The 11,959-nt window shown below is 35.1% G+C and overlaps 1 long non-coding RNA gene across 7 annotated transcripts in view; it reads right to left on the bottom strand.

The window, feature by feature from the left end:
- Positions 1 to 315: 315 nt before the first annotated feature.
- The window catches only part of LINC01013 (long intergenic non-protein coding RNA 1013), a 36,803-nt gene continuing 25,159 nt past the window's right edge, over positions 316 to 11,959 (bottom strand). For 3 of the 7 annotated variants that reach the window (NR_038981.2, NR_187597.1, NR_187599.1), the window contains one exon: positions 316 to 689. This is a non-coding gene — a long non-coding RNA (long intergenic non-protein coding RNA 1013). Of the gene's footprint in view, positions 690 to 3,595; positions 5,794 to 7,558; positions 7,732 to 8,775; positions 8,924 to 11,959 lie in introns of those variants that run through there. The other 4 variants (NR_187598.1, NR_187603.1, NR_187602.1 and 1 more) reach the window with 4 other exon arrangements.

Below are 11,959 nucleotides of genomic sequence, written 5' to 3'. Positions count from 1 at the left end.
TATTATTTCTACAATGAACTGAAATTCACTTCAAACAGAAAAAGTTAAAAATATTTTGAAAGGAGTTGTCCAGCAAGAATATAGCAGAAGAAAGGAAATATCTGTATTTTGGCAGCTAGAAAAGGAACATAAATTGTTGTAATCCCTGGTGATTAAAAAAATACAATCCTTAATGTAAACCTAGGTGCTGACATTAAAATAGGAAAGAGATAAAAATGACATAAAACTAGAAAGGCAAGTGACTGGCAGAAAAAATAAATCCAGATGCAAAATTACTTACCAGAAAAATTCTCAGATTATATAATCAAACAAAAATTCAAATAATATCTTGCTTTTATTATTTATTTTTATGTCTTCCTATATGCAAGGATATATTCAATCAAACAAACAGTATTATAACAAGAAATTCTCAGTTCCATTCATTAGATTTCAATAGCTGAGTTTCTCCCAGAATCCTATCTGGAATAACCTCAGTCATTACCATACCATACAGACAGATAGATTTCCCTGGGGCTTTTGGTGGGGATTCTTTTATTCTGACAGCACTTTGAAGGATTTGAGATGGAGAACGCTGTGCCGTTGCCTTTGCACATCTTCCAGACAGTGGAGAATGCGTTTAGGGGCAGCAGATTGGAGTTCATCTTTTGGGGGCCTGTGAAAATATTTTTGGCCTTTGTAGATTGGTTGAACTAAAAGGGAAAAAAAAATACCTTAAATCATTGGATTGGTATACACTACCAATACTCTACTCATGTTAGAAGTAACACACACACAAATTAGTTTATGTAACTCCAAGAATGTAAGGTAGATGTTTCATCTTTTAGGAAAACAGCACCTCCTAAAACAATTATTTTATTTCATTCTTGGGGTTGTTGCTAATGGCAACAGAAAGAATGCACTGGAGTGTCATAATAATCCTCCATTAAATCCCTACTGTTTAAATTTTAATGCTATAATTCAAGAGCTGACAAAAGCCCATTGAGTTTGTCTATGGGGAGGAAAACAGGCAGGCCCATTTTCTCAGGGGTGATGCTATAGCAACATGGAATGAATTTGGGGTCAGGGAACAAGCAGTCTCCAAGCTTTGTTTGCATTTCCTGACTAAAAGTAGAATCTAACATTATAAATTTTACCCAAATAAGTATTTATTTTGAATAGCAGGAAGATAGCTCACTTTGTACTGCTGTTTACATTGAAAACAGAGAGAAGGTAACAAAACCAGAACTGGAAGAAAGACATGCCGACAAACATGTTATGAAATGACTATTGAAGTGACCACTTTAGAAACCCCTAGAGCCTCTCTGCGTTTGCTTGACACCCAACCCCTCTCCCGTGGACAAGCAATGCTTTAGAACATGGAAAAGTATTAAATTTGCAAAATGCCTTTTTAAAAGAGAGAGACAAAGGAAGTCTGATCAACAATTCCTGAATGTGACCCCTTACAGTCATGCAAGACATGGCAAAGACGGGTGTTGTTGATTTTGTCTAGCTCTTTATAATGGCACTTTTGTTTTAGTGGGAGAATTTATTTCTACCAGAATAAACAAATACACCTGAATCACAATTGCCTATTGTGCAGCAGAAGGCCAAGAAAAACCCTACCCAATTCCCACTAGTTTCTGCTGCCAACTTTTCTTTCCTCAGGCATCTGTGTTTTCACTTTTGGTTTGAGTGTTGAATATTAGCATATTGAGTCAGTGTTCAATAGCATAAAATATTACATTTTGGGTGGTTATCCAATAAGATCTATCTAGTTATAGACTCTATTTATATGGCTTGCAATATACAAAAAAGAAGACTGTTAGGTTTTCAAATGCTAAGTCATAGGTGAAAATATAAATATCTGTAAACCTTGTAGCTCAACAAAACTCAAAGCTGTTTCTTCTTTTTTATTTCCTCTCTCAGACCCTTGCTGTCTCACCTTGACAATGAAAAACTCTCACCCCTCCCAAACCTCTGATGACCTCTAGTACCCATCCTTTATAATTCATCCTAAATATAATGGCAATATTAATTATCCTCTTAATAACAAAATCCCTCTTCTATTAAAAATCTTTGATGTTTTAAAATAAAATTCACACTTCTACATATTTACTCTGCTATTACAAGTAAGTCAAACTGTATAACTTGTTGTTCCATTTATATATCTTGCTTACACTTTTCTCACGGTATATTTACTTAGATGCTGTGTAGAATTTCCTCATCAATATTCTATTCATCTTTCAAACCCAGTTTATATGTCACCTTTTCCATAAAGTTTTTCTAGATCACTCCTTCTGGAAAAGATTTCTTTCCTTTTCTCACTCTAAGCTCACATGGTCCCTGTAGAATTATCTTTGGGTCATTATTTCATATTTTCTAATGAACTCTGTTACTATTATCCCACAAGGACAGAGACTATATATTTAGTTATTTTTCTTTCACTCATTTTACTCTTAGAAAGAAAAGTTTTTTAATAAAAGTATTCTCTAAGCTGTATTGCTTACCTGGTTTTGCCTCCTAGAAACACAAAGCAGATTACATTCAAGTTATAATTATTATCAACAAAAGGATTTGTAGAATAAAACTTAAAGCTATAGAATAAAAAATATTAAGTGATATGTTATGATCAAGTACTAGTGCCTTAAATAAAAGAATGGTTTAGCATAAAAAGAAAAATAAAGGATGGGTTATTCTGCATAGACAACCCTAATATCTGAGTAGTTTATCATAACAATTAAGTATGTGCTCATGTTACTCATTCAATGAACACTGGCAATAAGACTTTGCTCATCACAGTCACTAAGGGATCCAGACTGACAGAAGAGACATCTCTATACATATTTACATAGTCACTGTGTCAGAAAAAGGGAAATTGGTGACACATACCATGCTACCTCTGAAAATTTCTTCCCAGAAGTAGCACATTTTTTCTGTTCATACTTTATACATCAGAGCAAGTCACATGGCCAACCTCACTTCCAGGGGACAAAGAAGTGAAATTCCACATGTGTTCAGACACAGAGACAATTTGAAATACGTGGAGAATAGCACTAGTAATTATTTTTCCACATTTTCCCCCCCAGTAGTTAGGGGAAAAAATAAATTTCAAAATCTATATCAAAATAGCAAAATACTCAAAATTAGGAAACTCCCTGAAATCATTTGAACATATATTTCAATAACCTTAACAAACAGCATCCTTAATCATGAAATTTGAGACTTTTTTTTTCTCTTAAGATACATTAAATACAAGGATAAATTAAATACAAGGATATTATCATTGCTACTGAACCATATAGGCTGCAAGTCATGGCCAGCATAAGATGTAAGAAAGAAAATAAGGTAGATGGTTTGGAAAATAATAGACCAAAATTGCCATTTCTATAGGTATGATATGAATTGTTGATATGGCTTACCTTTTGAATTTTTAGAATTTTCTATTATAGTTATTAAAAATTATGATCAAATTTTCCATAAAAATTACTTTAAAATTTTAAAGTAGAATATTAACAACCTGTGAAATAATGGCAAAAGAATGAAAGTTTGTAATTAGAGTACTAGAAAAAGAAAAAGAGAGAGTATGAAGCAGAAAAATTACTTAACCAAATAATGGTTAGAAATTTTCAAACTTTATTTAAAAACCCACACATAATTTCAGGAATCTAAGCAAAAAACAAGCAATGGACATTATATTAAACTGCTGAAAATCAGAATTAAACAGAACATTTGAAAAGCAAGAGAAGAAAAGACATATTACACATTAAATGCAGAGGACCAATAATAAGAAACAAGGCTGACCTCTCATCAGAAACAATGAAAATGAGAAGACAATGGAACAACATCTTTAAACTAAATGAAAGACAACTATATAACTTGTCAACCTAGAAAAGTGTTAATCAGCAGATATGTATTACAGGAAATGCTACAGGAAGTTCTTTTGGCTTCTGGTTCTTTGGCTCAGAGTAAATGGTACCGGATGGAAATTTGGTTATATAAGAAGCAATGAAAGATTAAGTATGTGACCGGTTTCATGAAAATAAATTGAACAAATTAGATGAAAAGGACAAGCTTTTTTTGAGAAGCCATAACAAATCAAATTAACAAAAATGAAAGAAAAATATTGAATAATATTATTAAATAAATAGAATTCATGATTATAAACCTTTTCTCAATGAAAATGATGGTGTATACTGGTGAATTTTATTAAACATTTAAAAAGTTATATGCTTTTTAACTTTAAATACATAACATACTTCTGATATTTTTTATAGGAATTTGCATTTAAGGAAATAGTCTACCTTTACTTGTTGAATGGAGATACATAGATCTCAGGTCTGCTAAAAAAATTCACTAACAATTTCAACCAGGATATTGCATTGTTGAGGTTATCCATTTGTTGTTCAGTTAGTACTTGACATTAGCCTTTAACCTCAGCCAGTCTCCCCCCTGGCATAGGCTGATATATGAGAAAAGAAATGGTCCAGGCACGGTGGCTCACACCTGTAATCCCAGCACTTTGGGAGTTCAAGGCGGGTGGATCGCAAGGTCAGGAGTTCGGGACCACCTGAGCAACATGGTGAAACCCCCGTTCTCTACTGAAAGTACAAATATTAGCCGGGCGTGGTGGCACACACTTGTAATCCCTGCTTCTCAGGAGGCTGAGGCAGGAGAATTGTTTGAACCCAGGAGGCGGAGGTTGCAGTGAGCTGAGATGACGCCATTGCACTCCAGCCTGGGTGACAGAGTAAGACTCCATCTCAAAAAAATAATAATAATAAATAAATAAAATAAGAGAAATGTAAACTTGGCCCAACTATTGGACAAAAAAAAATCAAAGTTACAGCCTTCCTGATGGTTATGTGATTGATGTTAACATTGATATAAATAAAGTCTGTTTCTGAAAAGAGAAGAAAGAAAAGAAGTGCTGGCAAATTTGAGCCCAGGTCAAGTGAGTTTGTATTTCATACCCAAATACTTCAAGCCAAATATTTGGTGGACTCAAACTACTTATATTTCCTATCATCCTTTTTATCACAGGGTATTTGTTGTAGATAGAAAAGACATAAGAAAGGACAGACTTTGATGTGTTTTTCTTTCTAGTTCTAAGAATTGCTATTTTGTCTTCTAGCAGAACACCTTCCCAAACATAAGATAATTGGCCAAAGTAGAGAAGAGAACGAATGGTGTATATCTATGAACAGACAAATTTTCAGTGGAAGAAGGGAAGTTCTGGCAAGCTTCAGCAGCATACTTTCACTAAATCTTTAAGTGCACGGACTATAGTGTATGTAATAATGTTGCAGGTCAGGTGACTCTGAGATCATGCTTAGTTTACAGAAATTTGGGGGGAAATTGCTGTCAGGATCAACAATTGGGGAATGGGAGGAAAGTAGAATTAGGCCAAAGAAGAAGTTGGACTGCAACATAGTAATAAGAACTAACTAAGGAAACTCAAGGAGAGCCCTGAGGTTAGAACAGTCCTTTAGATGGGGAAAGGAGACCAGACCATCATACCCCACATCAATCAGACTTCAGGTGCAGCCTGCGCTCTGGAGGAGGAAAGATCTTGGGCAATGTGCCTCTTTTCAGAAGAGGGCAACTTCCAAAAAGGTCTGATGGCTGAGAGCTCAACCATCAATGCTCCCAGAAGTTGAGTGAATTTGTCCTTCCTTCCTGAAGGGGGAATCTGAGCAGTGTAGCAGAGCATTCTGTACTGTCCATTCTTGCACACCTTGAGTCCTCTTGCTTCACCTAAGTTCTGAAAGCTGTATCTTCAGGACTCTGAGGGATTTCTTTCCTGCAGTAAGCTTCCTAGGGGAAAGTTAATGGAGAAATGCTATGTCTCATTGATGCAGTTGGGCTTGAGGCTACATCTGTGATAATTTATTGTCCTCTTCCTCTACACTCTATCCTAGAATCACTTCTCCCACAGCTAGCACCTGGTCTTGGTGGCTTACCTGGTTGGATGACCCAAACCCATATCTCTGATTGTCTAAACATCTGGTCCTCAAGCCCTTATTAGATTGTGGCTACTGTATTTGTCAATTTATCATGAAAACTGGGCAAAGAATTGCCATGAGATAATCAAGTACCAAATATGTTCCTCCCCTGTCCCAGTGTGTCATAACAGCCTTTCTCCTGATGATCAGCTCAATTGCTTCTATCAATATGGTATTCCCCCCTTGCCAACTTGTCCCTTGGCATATGGAGTCTGAAGTGCCCAGGCCAAAATCATAGCTTATGTTTCACTGATAGATATTCCCCATGGTAGGAACGAAGACCACTAAACACATGGAGTTCAGAATTTCAGAAAAAGGAAGCAGAAACTCCCTATGTGTCATTGCTATTTTCTTTTTTTAAAAAATGTTACTTTATTTTAGTTCTGGGATGCATGTGCAGAATGTGCAGGTTTGCTACATAGGTATACATGTGCCATGGTTGTTTGCTGCACCTATCAACCTGTCATCTAGGTTTTAAGCCCTGCATGCTTTAGGTATTTGTCCTAATGCTCTCCCTCCCCTTATGCCCCACCCCCCAACAGGCCCCGGTGTGTGGTGTTCCCTTCCCTGTGTCCATGTGTTCTCATTTTTCAACTCCCATTTATGAGTGAGAACATGCAATGGTTAGTTTTCTGTTCCCGTGTTGGTTTGCTGGGAATAATGGCTTCCGGCTTCATCAATGTCCCTGCAAAGGACATGAGCTCATCGTTTTTTATGGCTTCATAGTATTCCCTGGGGTATATTTGCCACATTTTCTTTATCCAGGCTATCCTTGATAGGCATTTGGGTTGGTTCTAAGTTTTTGCTGTTGTAAATAGTGCTTCAATAAATATATGTGTGCATGTGTATTTATAGTAGAATGATTTATAATCCTTTGGGTATATACCCAGTAATGGGATTGCTGGGTCAAATGGTATTTCTGGTTCTAGATCCTTGAGGAATCACCACACTGTCTTCCACAATGGTTGAACTAATTTACATTCCCACCGACAGTGTAAAAGCATTCCTATTTCTCCACAGCCTTGCCAGCATCTGTTGTTTCCTGACTTTTTAATAATCGCCATTCTAACTGGCGTGAGATGGTATCTCATTGTGGTTCTGCCCCAAAACTCCTTAAGCTGATAAGCAACTTCAGAAAAGTATCAGGATACAAAATCAACATGCAAAAATCACAAGCATTCCTATACACCAACAATAGACAAGCAGAGCCAAATCATGAGTGAATTCCCATTTACAATTGCTACAAAGAGAATAAAATACCTAAGAATACAACTTACAAGAGATGTGAAGGACCTCTTCAAGGACAACAACAAACCACTGCTCAAGGAAGTAAGAGAGGACACAAACAAATGGAAAAAAATTCCATGCTCATGGATAGGAAAAATCAATATTGTGAAGATGGCCATATTGCTATTTTCAACTCTTCATGCCTGCCACCATGTGTAACCAATGGAGCACCACATATCTAAATAATGGAGCACAGTACCATACAATGGTCATGAGACTTGAGTATAGACTGTATCTTGGAATATGATTTCTTATCCTTATATGGTATCATTTTCAAGCTTCTGCCTCACCTATGCCTTCTATGAACTACTTTATTGCTCTTCAATGGCAGCCTCTTTTGGATGGTGTAGTTTTTAATAGGAACAGTCGATCTTATAATCATCCAGCCACTGTTGCACCTCTTTTCCTGTAAAGTGAGTTTCTTTTACAACAAAGGAAACAATCAACAGAATGAAGAGACAACCTATGGAATAGAAGTAAATATTTGTAAACTACATATCTGATAAGGAGTTAATATCAAAAGTATATAAGGGACCCAACTCAACAGCAAGAAAAAAATCTGATTAAAAAATGGGCAAAGAACCTTAGTAGACATTCCTCAAAAGAGAGATACAAATGGTTGACAAGTAATACTCAACATCACTAATTACCAGGGAGATGCAAATTAAAACCACAATGACATATCAGCTCACACCTTTTAGGATGTGTATCAAAAAAAGAGACAAGTATTAGTGAGGATGTGGAGAAAAGCAAATACTTTTACACTGTTTACAGCAATGTACATCAATACAGCCATTATGGAAAACAGAATAGAGGTTGCTCTTAGTCCAGAATTTCTGAACAGTGGCATATTGACATTTTGGGGTGGATTATTTATTGAGGGAGGCTGTCCTGTCCACTACAGGATATTTAGCAGCAACTCTCTAGCCACTAGATGTCAGTAATATCCTCCCGTTTCCGACAATCACAAATGTCTCCAGACATTGCCAAAGGTCTTGGGGGTGGGATATGGGAGATAAGGAATTGCCCATGGTTAAGAACCACTGTGTTAGTGTGAGGCAATGCTATATGAGATCTCCTGTTGATGGACTAAACTCTCTGCAATCCCACGGCTAATGGTGCTGTTTGAGGTTCTTTGACATAAAACACAGACCATACCTGGAATATGTATAAATTCAAAAAGCATTAATTCGAAATGAATTAATGCTTCCATCCTTTGAGGATGGAAGAAGTCCAATGAATTTAACTTGCCACCAGGTTGGCTGGTTGATCTCCTGAAGAGATAGTGCTGTATTGGGGGCTTAGTGTTGGTCTCTGTTGCTACTTCTGGGACATTTGGCAGTGACAGAAGTTATAACAACTTCAGTAAATTGGTGGGGCCCATGCAAAACCTGCATCCCTTACACCATGCTTACTCTGTTCATGTGCTTATTGTCCAAACACTGAAGTCTCTGATGACAGAGTATGGCTGATATTGACTGGCTGACACTTTGTCTACTCCAATTACCTGGTTGTTTAATGTCTCTTCTAGGGTAGGTATATTCTCCCTTAGACATTAGCTGCACTACAAAGATCTTCAGACTTTGTGCCCACTCTCACTAGTTCATTCATATACCATGACTCCAGACTGCTCCTGATCTTCCCATCTTTCAAGACTGAATGCAAAAAAAAAAAAAAAGGAAAACATCTCATCAATATTTTCATGCTGATTACATGTTGAATGACAATATTTAGATATATTGGATCAAAAAATATGCTACTAAAATTTATTTCACCTGTGTTTTTTACTTTTTTATTTTATACTGTTTTGCTTTCTTTTTAAAAAATTTTTATGGGTACATAATAGTTGTACATATTTGTAGGGAACATGTAATATTTTAGTACAAGCAAATAATGTGTAATGATCCAATCAGGGTCATTGGGATATCTATCACCTCAAATATATATCATTTTTTTGTGTAAGGAACATCCCAATTCCACTTGTTTTGTTGTTTTGAAATATACAATAAATTATTAACTATAATTACCCTGTTGTGCAAGTGAACACTAGCTCTTATTCCTTCTATCTAATTGTATGTTTGTACCTATTGCCCATTCCCTTTTTATCTCCTGTTCCCAACTATCCTTTCAAACCTCTAATAATCATTATTCTTATTCTCTATCTCCATGAGCTTTTTTTTCAGCTCCCACATATGAATGAGAACGTGTGATATTTGTCTTTCTGTTTCTGGCTTATCTCATTTAGCATAATGTCCACAAGTTTCATCCATGTTGTTGTAAGTGACAGGATTCCATTCTTTTTTTATTGCTGAATAGTATCCCATTGTATATATGTACCATATTTTATCTATTCATCTGTTGATAGACATTAAGTTGATTCCATATCTTGGCTACTGTGAATAGCCCTGCAATAAACAGGAGAGTGTCGATATCTCTTCCACATACTGATTGCCTTTCTTTTGAATATATACCTAGCAGTGCAATTGCTAGATCATATGATAGTTCTATTTTTAGTTTTTTGAAGAACCTCCATACTGCACTCCATAGTGTCTGTACTAATTTACATCCCCACCATCAGTGTTCAAGGGTTCCCCTTTCTCCACATCCTCACCAGCATCTAGATACACACACATACACAAAATGGAAAGATATTCCATGTTCATGGATTGGAAGAATCAATATTGTTAAAATGTCCACACTACTCAAAGCAATCTACAGATTTAAGGCAATCCTTATTAAAATACCAATGACATTCTTCACAGACACAGAAAAAATAATCTTTACATTTATATGGAACCATAAAAGAAAACCAGAATAGCCAGAGTAGAGAACTCAGAAATAAATCCATGCACTTATAGTCAACTAATTTTTGGCAAAGGTGCCAATAACATACACTGGGGAAAAAGACAGTCTCTTCAATAAATGGTGCTGGGAAAACTGGATATCCATATACAAAAGAATGAAACTAGACCCCTGTTTGTCACTATATACAAAAATCAAATCAAAATAGATTAAAGAATTAAATCTAAGACCTGAAACTATGAAACTACTAGAAGAAAACATTGGGTAAATTCTCCAGGACATTGGTCTGGGCAAGGATTTCTTGAGTAAGTTCTCAAAAGCACAAGCAATCAAAGCAAAAATGGACAAACGAGATCATATTATGCCAAAAAGCTTCTGCACAGCAAAGGAAACAAAGTGGAGAGACAACCTACAGAATGGAAAAAAAAATTTGCAAACTACTCATCTGCAAGTAATTAACAACCAGAATATATAAGGAACTCAACTCAATAGCAGAAAAACTAATAACCTAATTAAAAAATAGTCAAATGATCTGAATAGATATTTCTCAAAAGAAGACATACAAATGCTAGCAGATATATGAAAAAAAGGCTCAACATCACTAATAATCAGAGAAACGCAAATTAAAGCTACAATAAGATACCATCTCACCCTAGTTAAAATAGTTTTTGAGTTTCTTACATATTTTAGATACTCATTCTTTTTGAATATGTGGTTTGAAATTTTTTTCCCAGTCAGTAGCCTAATTTTAGAGCATCTTATCGGGGTCTTCTTCAAAGCAAAAGTTTTTAAAATTTTGATAAAGTCAAATTTATTACTATTTTTTTTTCTTTTTGAATCATACTTTTGGTATCAAGTCTGACAGCTCTCTGCCTAGGCCTAGATTCCTAAGATTTTCTCTTTTCTCTTATGTTTTTTTTCTAAAGCTTTTATAGTTTTACATTTTACAATAAGTCTATTATCCATTTTGACTTACATTTTATATAATGTGTGAAGGTTAGATTGAGGTTTATTTATTTATAATGTTAGTTGTAAATGCTCTTTATCAAGTTGAGGAAGTTTCCCTCTATTCCTCATTTTCTGAAAGTTTTTATTATGAATGGGTGGTAAATTTTTGTCAAATGCCTTTTCTGTATCACTTGATGTAATCGTGTGATTTTTCTTCTTTAGCCTATTAATACGATGGACTACTTTGATTAATATCAAAATATTGTAACAATATTGTGTCTCTGAAATAAACTTTGCATGGTCATGGTGTGTAATTATTTTATATATTGCTGAATTCTATTTGCTAATATTTTGTTAATAATTTTTATATTTACATTCATGAAAGACACAGTTCTAGTTTTTTTATTTTTATACTGTTTCATCTTGTTTTAGTATCAGGATAATATTAGCTTCACAAAACTAATTGGGAGGTATTTCCTCCTCTTCTACTGGCTAGAAAAGATTGTGTAGAATTAGCATTACTTTTTGTTTAAACATTTGTATGATTGATTTTTAAATTATAAATTCAATTTCCTTACTAGTTAGTTTTAGGACTAGTTAAATTATCTGTTTAATATTTGGTGAGTTGTTGTAGCCTGTGCTTTTTGAACACTGGTACACTTCTAAGTCATCCAATTTATGTGTGTAGGTCATTTGTAATATTCCCTTATAAGCCTTTTGAGGTTGTTAAGGTCTTTACAATTTGTGTTGCCTTTCTTTTTCTCTGTCAGTCTTATTTTGTCAATCTCTCTTACCAGTCAAACTGCTGTCAATTTTATGAACCATTTCAAAGGACCAGCTTTTCATTTCATTGGTTTTTCTTTTAAACTTTATTTATTTCTGCTATCATCATTATTATTGCCTTTCTTCTGCTGGCTTTGAGTTCATTTTGCTCTTCTTTT

This window comes from Homo sapiens, chromosome 6 (assembly GCF_000001405.40).
Source record: "Homo sapiens chromosome 6, GRCh38.p14 Primary Assembly".
Lineage (NCBI taxonomy): Eukaryota > Metazoa > Chordata > Mammalia > Primates > Hominidae > Homo > Homo sapiens.
Note: the sequence above shows the minus strand (reverse complement) of the source record. Positions and strands in the feature narration are given on the sequence as shown.